At 41.9% G+C, this 18,669-nt stretch overlaps 1 long non-coding RNA gene across 1 annotated transcript in view, besides 2 other annotated features; it reads left to right on the top strand.

Annotated features, from left to right (window-relative positions):
- Window positions 1–18,669, top strand: part of LOC102724945 (uncharacterized) — a 244,858-nt gene that overhangs the window by 16,957 nt on the left and 209,232 nt on the right. Inside the window, exon 2 of the long non-coding RNA XR_001750942.2 lies at window positions 17,126–17,281. This is a non-coding gene — a long non-coding RNA (uncharacterized LOC102724945). The remainder of the gene's footprint in view (window positions 1–17,125; window positions 17,282–18,669) is intronic.
- Window positions 6,163–6,222: an enhancer, noted in NCBI's record as "active region_8251". NCBI's record gives its function as "activates an Ori minimal core promoter by ATAC-STARR-seq in GM12878 lymphoblastoid cells {active_cell/tissue: GM12878}" and the evidence as "EXISTENCE:reporter gene assay evidence [ECO:0000049][PMID:35858748]".
- Window positions 6,273–6,322: an enhancer, noted in NCBI's record as "active region_8250". NCBI's record gives its function as "activates an Ori minimal core promoter by ATAC-STARR-seq in GM12878 lymphoblastoid cells {active_cell/tissue: GM12878}" and the evidence as "EXISTENCE:reporter gene assay evidence [ECO:0000049][PMID:35858748]".

The following is an 18,669-nucleotide window of genomic DNA, read 5'->3' as shown; positions in this document are numbered from 1 at the left end:
GGTTATAAAAGCTGACACAGAGTTTTAAAAATTCATGTTATAATCAGAGATTCACCTTTCTTTTTTATGATATAAATTGTGGCTGAATTCTTTATTTATTTATTTATTATTATTATACTTTAAGTTTTAGGGTACATGTGCACAATGTGCAGGTTAGTTACATATGTATACATGTGCCATGCTGGTGTGCTGCACCCATTAACTTGTCATTTAGCATTAGGTATATCTCCTAATGCTATCCCTCCCCCCTCCCCCCACCCCACAACAGTCCCCAGAGTGTGAGGTTCCCCTTCCTGTGTCCATGTGTTCTCATTGTTCAATTCCCACCTATGAGTGAGAACATGCACTGTTTGGTTTTCTGTCCTTGCGATAGTTTGCTCAGAATGATGGTTTCCAGCTTCATCCATGTCCCTACAAAGGACATGAACTCATCATTTTTTATGGCTGCATAGTATTCCATGGTGTATATGTGCCACATTTTCTTAATCCAGTCTAGCATTGTTGGACATTTGGGTTGGTTCCAAGTCTTTGCTATTGTGAATAGTGCCGCAATAAACATACGTGTGCATGTGTCTTTATAGCAGCATGATTTGTAGTCCTTTGGGTATATACCCAGTAATGGGATGGCTGGGTCAAATGGTATTTCTAGTTCTAGATCCCTGAGGAATCGCCACACTGACTTCCACAATGGTTGAACTAGTTTACAGTCCCACCAACAGTGTAAAAGTGTTCCTATTTCTCCACATCCTCTCCAGCACCTGTTGTTTCCTGACTTTTTAATGATTGCCATTCTAACTGGTGTGAGATGGTATCTCATTGTGGTTTTGATTTGCGTTTCTCTGATGGCCAGTGATGGTGAGCATTTTTTCATGTGTTTTTTGGCTGCATAAATGTCTTCTTTTGAGAAGTGTCTGTTCATGTCCTTTGCCCACTTTTTGATGGGGTTGTTTGTTTTTTTCTTGTAAATTTGTTGGAGTTCATTGTAGATTCTGGATATTAGCCCTTTGTCAGATGAGTAGGTTGTGAAAATGTTCTCCCATTTTGTAGGTTGCCTGTTCACTCTGATGGTAGTTTCTTTTGCTGTGCAGAAGCTCTTTAGTTTAATTAGATCCCATTTGTCAATTTTGGCTTTTGTTGCCATTGCTTTTGGTGTTTTAGACATGAAGTCCTTGCCCATGCCTGTGTCCTGAATGGTAATGCCTAGGTTTTCTTCTAGGGTTTTTATGGTTTTAGGTCTAACGTTTAAGTCTTTAATCCATCTTGAATTGATTTTTGTGTAAGGTGTAAGGAAGGGATCCAGTTTCAGCTTTCTACATATGGCTAGCCAGTTTTCCCAGCACCATTTATTAAATAGGGAATCCTTTCCCCATTGCTTGTTTTTCTCAGGTTTGTCAAAGATCAGATAGTTGTAGGTATGCGGCGTTATTTCTGAGGGCTGTGTTCTGTTCCATTGATCTATATGTCTGTTTTGGTACCAGTACCATGCCGTTTTGGTTACTGTAGCCTGGAAGGCTTATCTTGTATCAAGATACGGACTTTGTCAGTGAGCTGTTCCCAACTTCTATGAACCATAATTCAATGAGCTGTTCTTGCTTCTGGCTTTCACAGGTACGACTCCCAAGAGCCAACTTCAACGTCTAACAATTGGCCTTGTCAGCATCACTTTCCCCTTTTAACATGGGCCAGTAACAACGACATTGGGTGGCAGTTCAGGATTTAAATGGGCAGCAGGCTATATTTCCCTGCACCATAATCTATGCAGCTAATTGCAGGGCCCTGGATGGTGTTCAGGATGATTTTTAAAAGAATTCTTCAAGTTATGGAGATTTAAATTTAGATATCTTTATATTGGAAACTTGTCAAAGAGGTCAGCGGGGAAGTGGGGTACAAAGAAAAGAATAAAAGCTTTTAGAGTTAGCCAGACATGGATGCCCCAGGACTTCTAGCTTGACTGACAGTATAGTTCAGGGTGGGGACCAAATCCGAGTTCTAACATTTGCTCAGTATCTAAAATGGGTTAGTAATAAGGCCATTTCACAGTGTTATTGTGGAAATGGAATGAATTAATATATATTAAAGCATTTGGAATAAGGCCTGACTCAGTGCAATATTTGCTGTTATTATTATTATTATTATTATTATTATTATTATTACTGGCTCTGTCATCTGCGCCAGTAAGTTAAATTCTCTAAACCCGAGTTTCTTTACATATAAAACCAAGGTGGTAATAACAATGTCATGTGATTCTTGGAATTTATGTAAGACTTCTAGCCCATTTTCTGGTATATAGTAGAAGCCCTGTTAAGGATATTTTATTTTAATATATGACTAATAATCTCCATCTGATTTACCTCACTGTGTGAGGGGGCCTTGCCAGAGACTTAAATGAAGTGTTAGTATCAGAATGCAATGGGCCCAGTGCCATTATCATAGTGCTGGGACACACAGAACTGAAGTCATCTCCAAGGTAGTGTTGCCGCTCTACAGTGAGGCCCTCACTCCCCGAGGTCATTAGAACCCCTATTCTCAGCCAGGTTTGATTTCCATCAGATTATCTCCTCCTGGAACAAGTGAGTCTGACTCAGGCAGTTGCTTCCTAATCTTTGTGATCATTGAAGAAAAGAATAAAATTCAAAGCTTCTTTTAAACCAGGTCTCCAGCTGTGCCCTTTGTGAACTTTGGGACCCAGTGAGACATCTTGACGATTTCTAAGATCTCCTGACTAGCTGAATTACTCTAAGGTCCAACTATTAACATTTAGCACCGAAGCCTGATTATCATGTGATAATCGCTCCATTAGCTTGTGTTGCTGCTGTTGTGCATAAAAGCCCTTCCTTGTCACTCTCAGAGCTCTGGTCTCCTGCCCTGACATCTCTCTCCATGTACATTTGATGTATTTCTCATTATCTCTCTTCGCTTTGCTTGTTATTCCTTTGAACGACTGGGCAATCTCTTCAGTCTCCAAAGCCTGATACTCGGTTCATCCCACACTGCCTCACCCTCCTCTGGTGTGTTCCAGATGGTTTTGTACCAAGCAGAGCATATGCCTCTTTCTTCCCCTTGATTACTCTTTGCATTTCTTCGCTCTTCTGCTTCGTCCTCCATTTGATTTACTTCTGGAGTATTTGCTGCTGGGGTGACGTGCATGATGAATACCCTTGGGCATCCATTAAATTCAGCTTTGAACAGTTTCTATTTCCCCTTGGTGTCCTTGATATCTGATGTGTCTGGTCATTTGCTCATATGAGCCTCAGAGTTTGCTGGCATTTGTTCCACAAAAGCGTATGCCTCTCTTTTTCAGGTTGTCCTATTTTTAAAAAAAAAATTTCACGGAAGTTCTTAGCTGAAAATGGTGTCTTACTGGTGGCCTTTGAGATTGTCCCGTCTGCCCCATTTTGTGTGAAGGAACTGCTTCAGTTATCTATTGCTGTGTAACAAATCACCTGAATTTTAGTGGTTTAAAACACAATTATTGGGCTGGGTGTGGTGGCTCTTGCCTGAAATCCCAGCACTTTGGGAAGTCAAGGTGAGTAGATCACTTGAGGTCAGGAGTTCAAGACCAGCCTGGCTAACATGGTGAAACCCCATCTCTGCTAAAAATACAAAAATTATCCAGGGATGGTGGCATATTCCCAGCTACTTGGGAGGCTGAGACAGAAGAATCACTTGAGCCCAGGAGGTGGAGTTTGCAGTGAACTGAGATTGTGCCACTGTGCTCCAGCCTGGGTGACAGAGTGAGACTGTCTCAAAATAAAAATGAAAATAAAAATAAAAACACAGTTATTATCTCTCGTGGTTCTTTGGGTTAGTCGGGTGTAGCTGGGGTTTCTCCTCAGAGTTTCTCCTCCAGTGGCAGTCAGATGTTGGGGCTGGCTACTGTACTCTGAAGGCTGGAAGGGGCTGGTCATCCAACAGGCTCACTCGCAGGGCTGGCAGTTGGTGCTGGTTGTTGGATGAGAGCTCAGCTGGGGTTGTCCTACTGAAGTGCCAACACAGGGCTTCTCCATGTGACAACATGGTCTTCTCAAAGCATAATGTCCTGGTCCTGCGAAGATGTATCCAACAGTGAGCGTTTGAAGGTAAAAGATACAAGGCTTCCTACGCCGTGGAAGTCATGTGGTTATTTCCATTGCACTTGACTAGTGTGAGGGGGCTACACAAAGAAGTGGCTAACTGAGCAGTGTATTTCACTGGGGGAGACTAGCTACAGTTATTCTGTTCTTCACATTGTTCCATATTTCAGTGTCAGACAGGCTCTTTTGATATTTGTTTTTCTCCAACTATTTCTGGTGACTTGAGCAGTAGCAGCTACAGGCTGTTTTCCCTACTAGCAAGCCTCAGTTATGATATTTCTAATGCCGTCTGTACCTCCCATCCCTGCTGCTAAAGTGTCTGTCTCCCTCCTTGTGGCTCTGAGGTTGGCAAGCTAAAGACATGAAGTACAAGAGAAATAGAGCCCTAGATTGGACCTTAGGGGAGACCTGTGTTCTAGTCTTGGCTTTGGAGTGATGTAACTGACCTTGAACAAGTCACTTCATCTCCCTGGACTTTGAACTTTTCTGAAGTCCCCTATAAGCTCTGAAATTCTGTAAAATTCTAAATAGCTGCCTTGAATATATATTTCTATTGGGTCAAATGCTCTATTTCAAGCCCCTGAACTGAACAAGCTCTGGTTTTGGAACTAATAGAGGAACTGTCACTGCCCATCACAGTCTGCACATAGTAGGCACTCAATAAAAATTTTTTTGGATGCAGTTTCAAGCTAGAAACCTTGATGATATTGTTTTCAAGATCTTGGTGGTAGATATTGCCAGATTATTTATTTTTATTGTTTTAATTTGAAAGATTATTTCCTTGCATATATAAGGATTTGCTTTTAGAACTTGAAACTTAACAGGGTCTCTGCATGCATCCCTTTGCCATTTAACAGGCAGTTAGTTGTTTGTGCCTGTTGACAGATTGATACTTTGCAAATAACCCTCATGTGCTGGTACTAACTGTGATTACCTCAAGCTGCAGCAACCGGAGGGATGCCAAGGGTCTGTGGTCATCTGAGTTTGCTCTTTCTTTTTTTTCTTTAAGGTGCTGTCTCTTGGAACCTTGAGTTATCTCCCTCTGGAATCATAGAGGGGAAAGAAAATAAGGAAAACTAGCGGGAGTGGAGGAAAACCAGGCCAAGTGTAAATGAAATCTACACCCTGGCCTCCCAGCTGGGTGGGTCAGTTCCTAGTCTTGCTCTAAGTGGAAGCTGACACAGGGTTTCCTTCCCTCAAGACCCATGTGACATTTGAGAGGACAAACAAAGGGCTCCATCAGGAAGAGGCTTAACCCTGTTAATGGCTACAAATCACCAGCCCTGGAGAGCTGGGATTCAGAGAAGTGTTTTGCCTTCTTTTTATTTTAGACGAATCAAGCTTCAAAGAGACTGACTACCCAGGCCCCCAGAATTTCCTGATGGTCTGGGAGGAAAGAAGATATCTTCCTAAAGGGAAAAGATAGCTCAAGGCCAAAGGAGAATTGACACCTATATAAGAAAGCAGTATGAAGTGGTCTCAGTTGAAGTGTGTGTGTATTTGTGCGTGTGTGTGTGTGTTTTACTGACAAACACATAAAAAGTGAAGAAGGCAGCATTCTCAGTTGGCGTGATTAGAGTAAGGCTCACATTTCCAGCAGTTATTTTTAGAAAAAGGAAGAGTGAGTTTTGGGGGTAGGTGGGTGGGTGGATTATGGTCTTTCCTTAGCCTGAGGGTTGTAGCTTAAAGAAGACTATGATCTTCCTGGTTGCCCCCTCCACCCACCACTCTGCCAGTCACATTTAATCTTTTTTGTTTTCAACTTTAGCAAACATTTTTGTATCATTTTTGCTTAATTAAATAAAACCTATTTACATTCTGAGCTGGAGGAACAGAGGTCAGGTAGCAGCAGACTCTCTTGCCACCGTTTGCTGAACCCTGTTAAGAAGCTATGGCCCCAGCTCTCAGGCTGGAAAAGGCATCCTTGACAATGTTAATAGTTTTGACCTCTGAGTTCTCGCATTTCACCAAAAAGTCCCTAAAGTAAAAAGGAAGGGACTGAAAAGCTGGTGCCTAAGGCTAAACTTTGCCCCTAGAAAAAGGGGAAGGGCAGAATAATTCTGCTGCAACAGGATAGTCTGTATACTACAGAGTGAAGATAAAAACAAGAAGAAGAGTTCATCATTTCCCTGTTGACTAAGAGCTATTTGCACTTCTGTGGTCGGCAGAATGAGAGTGCAGACCTGGGGCCTGGAGGACAGGTGACAGGTCTGTAGAATTCAGCTTCGGCCAGCCAGATCAAGTAATGTAATATGGAGGTTTTATTTGCCTGGTCCCAGCAGGTAGTTAACTAGCAGTCTTGGGTTGCAATGGGTCTCTCTTGGGAGCCCTGAAAATAGTTTATTTATTTTTTTTTACCTCCAAAATTATAACAAAGCCCACCAGGAAATCTTGGGTATTAATCTCATCAGAGGAAATCCTGGGAGATCATCTACTTCTCTAATTTGCCCAAGGGCTAGAGGGAATATTTATATCCTGTCCCCTACCAGCTTGATTTAAGTCACCTAAAGGCCTTTCCCTTTGTTTATATTCTAGGGAAATCATCCCATCGCAGAATAAATTATAAGACATTTCCAATAAACTCTCCAGTATTTTTTCAGATTAGGGGAGAGGTGAGGTGGGACAAAGATTGAGAAAGACAAGGCTGACTGGAATGACATAAATAATTGTAGTCAACAGTTTTAAGGCATTTCTTTATCAAAGCTTTTATCATTGTTACAAAGAGAAAAGAGCTGACTGGCTAGCAGCCAAAGCTGGGCCTCAGGAGTAAATTTCCTGTCTAGAAACCTGTTTGTGTCCAGCCTTTGGGGCTTTAGCAGGTGCAGTACTTAAAGCCTTCTATGTGCTGGTTCAGCCCAGACCAGGCCTGGTAATATTTCCAAAGCCTCATTTTCAGTAGCAGGTGAAGTCTTCTGCTTGTCTGCTCATTTCTGGTCTGCCTGGGCATATCCCTGGCACCCATCGGTCCACCCACCAAAGCCTTTACCTTAACTCCATTGGGAATCCCCAGACTAGATAATGATGATGATAATAATACCTTCTAATTTAGAATGTTTCCTGTGAGTTAAACCATTATGTTAACTGTTTTATGTAATTTTTTGTCACTTAATCTTTGCAACAACTTTGTGAAGTAGTTATTCCTATTAATCCCGTCTTACAGTTGAAGCTTAGAGAAATGAAATGATTTGCCCAAGGCCACACAGTGAGTACAAGTGCTGGGACCTGAAACCAGGTCTACATATTCCCAAAATCCATGCCCTTAAATTTCATGATATGTTGCTGGGTGTTTTTCTTGATTTTTAAAAATTTATTGCACTTCTCATTAAGGGCTGTTCCCCTCCCCTAAACCCAGGAGTACTTCATTAGAGCCCTGCCTAACTCTTGTCAACTCCTTTCCCAAGAAGAAGGGGTTGCTACCATTGGCCAAGTACTCTTTCAAACTAAACAGGCCTCCATTAAACCATGATTTGTCCACATGACTGATCAGAAGAAATGATTGTATCAACCCAGAAGCATCTGCTGTCACACCTTACCTGCCAGATTAAGTCTCTTGGGTAATACTGTTGGCCCAAATCAGACCCAACTTCTTTAGACATTGTGATTCCCAACCCTTCACAGTATCGTGGCTCACTGTGAAGCCCGCATGAGTTATGGCAGACTCTGAGTTTTGACAATTCAGGAACTCAGCTTGGAAAAATCTGTCCATCTGCCAACTCAGGGAAAAAAAAAACTATGAACAAAAATGTCAGTTTATTAATTTGTAAAATTTTGTCTTTTTCATTGTCATTTCTCTTTGTTCCAGGGCATTCCATCTCAAAATTAAAACTCAAAGGAAGTCAGATAGATCAGTCATCAGCAGCCTACTTGACAAGCCCAGAATGAGAGCAAAGAAAATTGAATTGTCTTAGCTGATATTTCATTCAGACCCTGAAAGAAACATTCTTGCTCCTTCCAGTGAACAGAACCCTCCTCCTTACAAGTAAATCTGAAGATCTAGGTTCAAGGCCAGGCTCTGCCATTTATTATCCCTGTAGTCATTGACAAGGCACTTAACCTCTTCAAGCTCCTTTTACATGGTTAGTAAAATGGTAGTAATAATATCTTACACATGATTCACGATGTTTAAATCAAGGTTAGGGATAAGAATGCTCTGTACATATTACTTTTTGTTACGTAAAACTGTCGCGTTGATTTTTTAATTTGAGTCCTTATGAAACCAGTTCTTTGCAGGTCATCAATCTGATCATTCATCCCAAACTGCCACTTTTCTAAGGAAGGATGTGGTTGCTTCACACATTTTAACCTGCACATGAATCTCCTGGATGGGTCTGGGATTCTGAATTTCTAACAAGTGCCCAAATGATGCAGATGCTTCTGGACCATGCTTTGAAGCAAGATTTTAGATGCTTTTAGCAAGTTTCTATGCAGATACTTAACAGACCAGGTATTTAGAGATCAGCATGACTTCTAGAATGCTGAATCACATGGTCCCTGTGTGTGCTTGTTTTAGGTGGCTTTTCAATACTGTTGAACTTAATGTGTTTTTTCTCTTTCCTTTACATTGCTTGGCCTTACTCTCTCTCATTTCTCCTCCTACCTTTTTGATTGCTTCTCCCCAGTCTCCCCCATAGACTCCTCTTCATTTATCCTTTAATATTAGTGTTCCCTTGGATTCTTTCCTTTGTCTTCTGATCATTTTACTCTGTGGATGATCTCGAGTTGTCTCCAATTTGAACTCTTCCTTGCCTTGCCCAGGCAGACTTAATGGATCCTTCTCCTGCACTCTCATTGAATGAATTGTGTTGTAAGATTCACTTTAGCGTGTGGTAGTTTTACTTTATTGCATCCTCATGCAATTATTTTTTCATGGTCTGTGACTTACTTTTTGAAAGTGGAGAGTGCCACATTCCATCTTTGCATCCTTTGTGCCTAGTGCAGTGCTTAAGTTTTGTAAATGTTTGAAGAATAAAGCAAGTAAACCCAGACATTGGGGCAGACACCAGAAGCAGCCATCTGAGCAGACCAGATGGCAAATGTTAGTGTTTGGACACCCTCGGAAACACAAAACCCACTTAAATTCTGTCGTGCATGCATATGTGTGTGTAAATTACCTCTCTGGATGGTCTCAAGATACCAGTAGCATCTGGGGAAGACACCTGAGCCAGGTTTCCTCTGTAAATTATTTCTGGACTACTTTTTCAGGCTTAAACAATAGGCTGTCAAAATTGTCAAAAAGAGGAAGCATGTTTCTTATGGGAAACATTATTTATCATGCTCTTCTATTGTAATAAAACAAAGAGCGTCCTTCCAGAGAAGGAAGGTTGTAGTCTAGCCAAAACTGGCTTCTAAGAAAAGCTTTACCGTACTCACCCTCAAAAAGGACTCAGAAGGCCAGGTAAATGATGGCCAGAAAGTGAGATGTCCTCAGCCCAAATGTCACATGGGTTGGGATTCAACCCAATTCAACAAACAATATTCAGTACACATTTTCTGTGTGTCAGGCTTGTACTAGGTTAAGGATTGAAAGATTAACAAACAAACAAACAAAATATGGCCTCAGAGACCTCATAGTTCAGTTGAGGCATTCGGTACTTACTCAGCATGATGAGTGTTTAATAAATATATGTAAAGTTCTGTGGATCAGAGAGGACAGAATAATTGGAAATATAGAAGAAAAATTATTTCGGAAAGGCTCCCCATCCCAAAGTATATATCGTCTTTTGAACCACCTATCAAAAATCAGACTGCAGATGTGACACATCCCATTCATGTACACAAATTAGATTCAATTCAAGTTAATGTTTTAGTGCTTACAGTATGCCCACCATATCCCCAAGAAGGTTTTGATGTAGGAACATCAAATAAATATATAAGATTTAATACAATGGAAAATGACAAGGTCATTAGAAATACAAGCAAGATATGATGGAAATATACAGGGAGTAGTAATAAAATCTGACTGGGAGATATAGAAGTCCTCACTGGGGCATACTGGTATTTAGGATGTTTAGTTCATGCCTCCCCATAGTGGCTGTGGACTCTGCACCTGTGTTTATATGGGATTCTGGATCTAATTGGTCAGATCCAGAGGTCTTAGGGGAAATGACACAATGGCTGGGTCATTAAATTTTCCTAGGAATTTAGAATTGAGAACTAAGGATGCTAGGCTGCTGAATGGTGGCTTTGTTGATGGTAAGATATTAAGGAGGCTGCTGTAGCCATGTTTGGGTTTTGGGAGCAGATAAGTGAAGCAATGCTGGGATGAGGGAGTCAGAGGTTGGGGTGGGGTGGGGGAAGACAGGAGAGAGATGGGGAGAGAGAGGAGAATGGCTGTGAAGGAAGAGATAGGAAGTGAAAACAAGGGAAGAGAAGACTGAAACAGACACAGAGAGATGCAGGTATTGTTGAGAAATCTTTGCTTGTAAGTTCCCAAATTCACTTTGAGCTTGTTAACCTGAAAAGAAGCCTTTATTATGAGGATCCAGGGTATAAGAATATCACAGAACCTAAGGGCAGAGACTGGAACTGCCTGAATCCGGAAGAGATTGCAACAAGAAACTGAAAAGCTGTCAGGACCTGGCCAGTTCTCACCACATTCTGGCTTTATTCTCTCCTGCTTGCAGATTGGTTTTCTCTACTAGTTGGTTCACCTTGTAGGTACAAGATGGGTCACCCCATTATTTTCCAGGTTTATATTTCTCTTGATACAGTAGGCCAGACTGAACCAGGATCTAACTTTTAGTCTTACTTCTAAATTCTAATTGCCCCAGATATATCAGGTATCTCTTCCTGATCTAATAACTGTGGCCCTGAAGTAAGAACAGGGTGATAGAGCCTGCACATGGCTGTTGAGGCCTCCTTCCTGTGTGAGGGGTGCAATAAAGAGGTAAGTCTTAACTGAGAAGCCACATTCAAAATTTTGTGCTATAACTAAAGTGCCACAGGTCAGGGAGCACTGACTCTCAGTTCCTGTTTGCATTTCCTTTGTGAAGGCCTTCCCATTCTTCCTGAGAGATGCCGATTCCTTATATAAGTCTCACTTTACTTAAGCTAGAGTGAGTTTCTATTTCTTACAACAAAAGAGCCTTCACTAAGATTTCGGTAGTCAGAGAAGAGATGAAAGAGGGCATTCCAAATTCAGGCAATAGCATGAATATAAGCATGGGAGTGAGGAAGTTCATGATTGAATGGATAGAATTCTCCAAATGGGGATTGCAGAATAGGGTGTCTGAAGGGATGGTGTGGAAATTGGGGCTGGAAAGGTGGTTTGAAGACTGTTGACACTGACCTTGGTAATTTCTCTCTTGGTAGTTTGGAGGAGGCAGTGGGAGCCTGGCAGATTTTTGAATAGCAGAATGATGGTTTCTGATCAGCGTGTTGGTGTTCTGTCTTCTTAGAGAGTGACAAGCACATTATATCTGCCCTAAATTTGATGGTAGTTGGACTGTGATGGATGAAATTCTACTTTTAAATCAAGTGGAATTGTGCCCTAAAATAATCACAGAGGCCTCATTTGCTGGCAGTTTGCCAAAAAGTACTGGGTGCTTGTAATCGATGCTATTGACACCACACCTAGATCCCCTTTACCTGCTGCTGCACCTGGTCTCCAGCTGCTGCAAGTGCTAGAGCCAACGGCTTGGCTTAATGTCTGTTACCTTCTTGGGAGTCACCTCACTGGGAGATATGTAGGAACTTCCACTGCTCAACCCCTATGGCCCATGACTGAATGACTTATGCGGGGGAGTCTAAGAGTCTGGCCCCTTTGCTGCAAGGTGGGGCAAGGCTGCTGGATGATTGATGCTCCAGACCCACACTGGACCAGGTCATGCTGGATGTTACCTGAGGCTACATTCCTACTCAGCATCTTCCCTTTCCAAACTGTCCTGCTTCTCCCGCTAGCCTACAGGATTCTCCTGAAGAACCTGCCCTCAACAGATCACAGGCAACCAAACCCCTTTCTCAAGCCCCTGCATCAAGGCAACCTGCCCTAAGAGAGTACCATTTATTTCAATAGACATCCAAAGTTACACAGGTTTCTATGTTTCTACCTCTATACGGCATAGTGGTCAAGAGCTCAGATTCTGGAATAAGACCATCCTGCACTGGAATCTTGGCCCTGTCACATAGTAGCTTCTAGTCTGGGCAGATTGCTTAGTCCCACAAAATCTAAATAGGGTAAGAATAGTACTTTGGGTTGATGTGAGGATTAGATGAGATAATATACATGATGCTCTTGGCCCAGTACCCATACCAAGTAAAGAACTCATTAGCCACTATTATCATTATTTCTGGTTATCTCTTTAATAGAGCTAGTGCATGTAGTTGCACAGGTTGCACACTGCATCAAGGTCCCTATCTAAGGGTAGCTGCAGGGGTAGATCTGCATGGCTGGCACATTTGTTGATTCACACTGGGTCTTGAGAAGCAAAAATAGCAGGCAAAGACTATCACAGTTAGCCTGAGACAGCCGAGAATACCCAGTGCTTTTCCTGCAGAGAGATTGCCACACAAAGGGCTCTTTGCTATGCGGAGCTCCACGTCAATCTCCCATCCATACCCCAAGCTGCTGTCCATGGAGGTGCATTCTCACCCCTTTGGCCTTTGCTTGTCAACCCAGTCCAGGAAATGGTAGCAGTCCTGTCTTCCAGTTCACAGAAGTGATGGTTTAGAGCCATGGAGCTGAATAAATGGCTATGTTCAGCCAACATTTGTCAATCCCCAGGAATAGCTTCCTATTTTGTCAGAAGATTCCATCCATGTGGCCAGACACTGGCATAAGAGGCTGAAATGCCCCAGTGGTTGGAAACTATGGGATGGGGAGAGATCGTTGGGCGGTAACGTGACCATATTTCTGTGGCATGAGCTGGTACAAGCCAGCACTGGGGGAAACCAGGCCATCGGGAGAACGTTCACAGATCTGGCTGGCAAGTGCTTTGTATATGGAAAAATACACCTTTTCATAGAAGTAACTTGATCTGAAGAGTATCATAGAGTTGCTGTAGTGATAGAGCAAATGATCCCATATTCCAGTACATGAGAGACCTGTTCTCTTGTGTCCCTTCTGGCCAGCCCGCCTTCCCACAGCAGCCCCACCAATGAAATGAAAAAAATCCCTGGAACACTCTAGCTCACAGACTTCAGGACTCGACTTGCACCTGACTAGGGTCCCATCTGAGGTAATACATGAGAAAATTTGGCCTAACTGCTGAACTATTTCTTCTGAAGGGACACAACCACAGCAAGCTAAGCATTTCCAGATACCCAGTCAGAGAATTCAAAGAATGCTAGCTGTATCAGACATTTGCTCCCAAACGGGGATTGCAGGATAGGGATGGTGTGGAAATTGGGGCTGGAAAGGTGGTATGAAGATGGTTGACATTGACCTTAGAAATTCCCCTCTTGGTAGTTTGCTCTCTTATGTGGGGCACCGGGGTACAAGGGGTGTCTTCAACCTCATTGCTCCTGAGCTCTTCAGCCTCTGGCGACAGAGCATGCAGATTGTCTGTCAGTGTCATCAGAGCTGGATGCAAGTCCTCTGGAAGGTGTCCACAGAGCCCCGGGCAGGAAGCCACCTGGTTCCAGGGTGGTCAGGATGCAGTGTCCTTCAGTCTGGATTACTTGCTTAACAACCCAGATTTGTACATCCTTTTGAAAGAAGAAAGCTTGTTTTGGTCTTTGCAAACATGCTGTGTGACATATGAGTCCTTCTAAGTGGCTGGCACACTGAGTGGAAACAAAGCCATAGCTGAGAGTGGGTTGGGGAGTGTCTAGAGAGCCCCCCTTCCTCATGCTTGCACCGAGTATAAGAGCCTAAAACTCTCTCACAAGTGGGACTGGAAATTGGAAAGTCTTTTTCCTCACTTCACATAGAAGTCTTTTTATACCAAGGTTCAGGGCAAGTAGACTAACCCCATGGAACAAAAGTCCAAGTTCTGCTGGGGAGAGGGGAAAAGAGTCAAACCTGCTTGGAATCAGTTCACTGGCATAGATCTGCATTTTACTGTGAGCCAAAATCCTGTGAAGTCTCAGGGGCGATGAAGTCCAATTAAAACAGAGCTCAGGCACCGGAAGAGGCCAACAGACATGTGTAATTGTGAGAACCAGGACTTTAGTGGGGAAAGAAAAAAAAAAAAATCCAAGGAGAAGCCAAGGCCAATGATCAGAACTGCTAATTTTTACCAACCTAATCATTAATGAATACTATGTTTCTGAAAAGAATGTTAAGAGAATAATTGTATTTCAAGGGCTTAAAAACTGCTAAACTCTGAAGTTGTACAATTTGTGCAAATTAATATGATAAAAAGAGACAATTAAGGTTTATAATTAACAGATAAATACAAATGATCTGGTGAAGACAATCTAAGTTTCTGCTCTGTCTTATGAAGCAGTGTAATTGATTTTTATAAATGCTAATTTACAGTACATGCTCTGTTAACCATTAACACAGAGAAAAGAACGTGGAGTAAATGAAAGTCAAGGAGGGATATGAGCCAAGAAACTTAACAAACTAGATCTAGCCAAGGAGAAAAAATAGAAAAATATGTCAAATGTTGGAATGTGGCTTTGAAAAGAGAAAATATATTATCAGACAACAATCTTCCTTCCATATTCCCTTGATTGTCCAGCCCTGTGGAGAGAAAAAAAAATCCCTCAACAATCTATACAAATGCAGTTTAAATTTTTCTCTGTTTTTACACCATGCAAAACTGGCTATCTGGGTTTTGCTGAAATTCGCAGGGTAAGGGTCAAATGGCCTGACTCAAGATATACGTCTCATTATGTAAATAAAATGCACTTTGGGAGGGAAGAAGTTTCCCCAGCAAGAGCAGCTGAACTGTCTAGAGAAAGTCCTGTGTCACTTCTGATCAGGAGAAGCCTGCTATATGTAATCAGATGCTGTGGACAGAGAATACCAATGGTGATCTTAAGTGAACCCCAAACCGACGCACAATGGCTGATGCTCCAGACAGCAGGCAACTTGGGACTGAGCTGCCTCTCACGTGGGCAACTTGTGCAAGTGGGCTCCGGGATGGGCACTGGTAGAGAGTCATTTACGTATATAATGGTGGTTAGCGAGTCTCATGAGCTACTCCAGGAGGCCAGACAGTTCACAACAAAGTATTCCTTTTCAGATGGGGAAGAAATGATTACATAAGCAAAGGGAAGTAAGAGAGACTGAGAAAAAGGAGAGAGGGAGAGAAGGGTTGCTTTGTATGTCCCCATTAGACTGTATGCCTCTACATACATTTGTGTCTTGTACATTCTTATTCTTTGTACCCAGCACAATGTTCTTCTTATGATAGAATCTGGAAAAATATTTGTATTTTGATAATGAAAATAGAGATCTGGCAATTCATATTTTTTACAAAAAGGAAGCCTGCAAAGATGACTTTATTTTAAATTGGAAGTATGAGATCCTAGAGATTTTTACCTGAGTATGGTTAACACTCTGCTTTTGAGTTTTCAAGTTGAAATCAGCAAGAGAAAAAGGAAAACTGGATGAAGAGAGCATCAAAGGATGTCTGGAGAGGAGTATCATCATTCTAAGGCCTTAGATCTGGGGAAGTCAGGAACTGTCTTTTCAGTTACTGCTCCTTCCAGTCACGCTCCATTAACCTGTTCCCAGTGAGTTAGGAGCCCCTCCAAGCATTTCCAAATGTAACTTGCTGGTGAATGTGATGTCTTCCTTGATGCTTCTGAAATTCCTAATCTACAAAACCAACTGTTCTTTCAAAATACATTTTTTTGGTTTCTTCTGTTTGTTACCTTTTGATAATCATATTGGAATTGTACATTTTAAAATTCTTAAAATCTGTTAACAAAAGGAAAGGTAAGAAGTGGATTCTAGAAGCTAAAACAGAAAGTACTTTTTTTTTTTTTTTTTTTTTTTTGAGATGGAGTTTCTCTCTTGTTGCCCAGGCTGGGGTGCAATGGTGCAATCTTGGCTCACTGCAACCTCTGCCTCCCAGGTTCAAGCAATTCTCCTGCCTCAGCCTCCTGAGTAGCTGGGATTACAGGCACGCGCCACCATGCCTGGCTGATTTTATATTTTTAATAGAGACAGGGTTTCTCCATGTTGGTCTGGCTGGTCTCGAACTCCCCACCTTAGGTGATCCACCCACCTCAGCCTCCCAAAGTGCTGGGATTACAGGTGTGAGCCACCTCGCCCGGCCCTGCAGAAAGTACTTTTATCATTCTAGTCTGCCTTCTTATTAAGCAGGAAATAAATGCATGGTATAGACTAAGACTCTCCAATGGAGATATAAATGTAATTTTAAGTTTTCTAATAGCCCCATTGAAAAAGAAAAAGACACAGGTAAAAGGAATTTTTAAAATGTTTAACTCAATATATCAAAAATATTTTAATACATAATCAGTATAAAATTATTAATGAAATAATGTATATTTTATGTTGTCTTCAAAATCTGGTATATATTTTACAGTTACAGCACACCTCAAATGGCACTAGCCACATTTCAAAAACCCAGATTACATGTGGCTAGTAGTTGATGGCTGCTATTTATACAACACAGAGAGAGGGGGAGAGAGAGAGAGCAAAAGAGAGAGAGAGAGAGATCCAAAAATATATCTGTCAGGGTCCTATTGGTTCTTATTCCAATAAAAAACATTTAAGGGTTATGATGGAGGTGAATTTGAAACTCTAGTCATAATATTTATTTTATAGTATAAATAATGCCTAATTGGTACAAATACTATAAGCTGAACAATTATATCTCACCAATAATAAATTCCTTGGATCTGCCAAAACTAAGTTAAGAGACTTGCTGAGCATATCCTTAGCCAATCATATGTTTATCTTGAGGCATTAACCAAAGGCTCTACTCAGAATAAAGTGCCCTATTCATGCACTGGAGTCACAAGTATACTTTTCTACTTTCAGAAAATCTTGTGGGCCAAATAATGCAGCTAGATGTGGTACAGCAAAGGCCAAAGTATGGTTTCAGTCCATATATGTGCCACATGCCCACGGGGCAGTGCTCCTTTTCAAGGGAACTATGCTTCCTGTTTAACCCATGACATTTGTCTTACAGCAGCTACCAGGAGGCAGCCTGAACGTGTCAGGGCCTGGGCACGACACTTGCCTTTCTTGGAGGAGTGATTTGAAGCCATAGTGGAAGACTGAGCCTCTATAAAAAATGAACGAGGACACTCTTAATGGACAGATACAAAACAAGCCCCAGGAGAAAGTAAGTGAAAAGAGCAATTGCAGAATAGTGTGTATAATATGTTAGCAATTGTGTAAAATGGAAGGAAGTGTATATGCTTGTTATGCATAGATTCTCCCTGGAAGATCACAGAAGAAGCAGGCAATGTTGATTGCCTTCAAGGAAGGAGAGGGGTGAGTGATAAGAATTTTCCCTTATAATCTTTGTTCTTTAGAATTTTTCACCAGGTGATTTATTATGTTTAATATATGTATAATTCCTTTCAAGTTTTGTGCCATGTGAATGTATATAAAATAATGTTTAAAAATTTAACAGTATTTGAAATGAGTAAATGAGTCAAGATCATAAGAAAAGGCGTGGCCTAGTGAGGGTGAGTATGTCATGTCTTGGAGTTGAAAGTGGAATATAGAACTAAGTGTTTAACTAGACCCAAGACCAAAGAAGGGAGTTATGAGAGGAGAAATATCCCCACATACTCTTTTAAAAATCGGACAAACAATTATAATTCAGCAATCCCTTCCTAGGTGCTTAGTTTGTGCCCGTCAGCAGGCAAGCCAGCATGCCCACACAGTCTTCATCTCATGAACTCTGATAGAGATGCAAAGAAGCATCCCTTGTAAAACGTGTGTGACAACAAGAAGATGTCATATTGTCGACACAGCAGTATCAGCATTACACACGAAACCTGGTGATCAAATAAACGGCCTTGTAAAATAAGTGGGTGTCGGTGTTGCCTCGTACCTCACTGAGCTGTCACTATTGGTAAAGTATTTGATAGAGGTGAGAGTCCCAACCTCTACTCTTGGGAACAATACCATTTCTCTGGAAATCAATCCAATAGAATCAATTCTTTCAGCAAAGATGTAGTATAGCTTCTATGTGCTGGCACAGAGGGGAACACAGAGGACACACAGATTAAGCTCAGCAAGGGCCCTGCCCACGAGGAGCTGGTGGTGTTCACAGGGTGATAAATATGTAACCAATACTGTTTCAGAAAGCAATGGAAGTGCAGAAGAGGGTAGATAATTCTGCCTGAGGGGAGAGGGGGAAGCTTTAAGAAGTAGTGGGGAACTACATGTAGATGAATAAGTAGAAGTTTTCGTGGCCAGGGAGCAAGAAAAATTATTTTAGGCAGAGTATTGTACAAAGAAGGTAGAGGCATGAATACCAGGCCTATTTGAGAAAGGGGGACTCTGGCTAGACCAGAGCACAGGATGCTGGAGGGTAGAGAGGTGAGGCTGGAAGGCAGCCTGGGACTTTTGAGAGGGGTCATGATGATTCTGCTGAAGAGCTTGGGCTTTTTCCCTAGGCAGTGAAGAGCTACAAAGGACGTGAAACACGGGATAGTGGTAGCACAGTGCAAGGCTTCAGGTGGAGCAAGTGCACCAGAGACAGAGCCCAGAGGAGGC

This window comes from Homo sapiens, chromosome 14 (genome assembly GCF_000001405.40).
Source record: "Homo sapiens chromosome 14, GRCh38.p14 Primary Assembly".
Classification (NCBI taxonomy): domain Eukaryota; kingdom Metazoa; phylum Chordata; class Mammalia; order Primates; family Hominidae; genus Homo; species Homo sapiens.
This window is presented reverse-complemented; position numbering and strand designations above follow the sequence as displayed.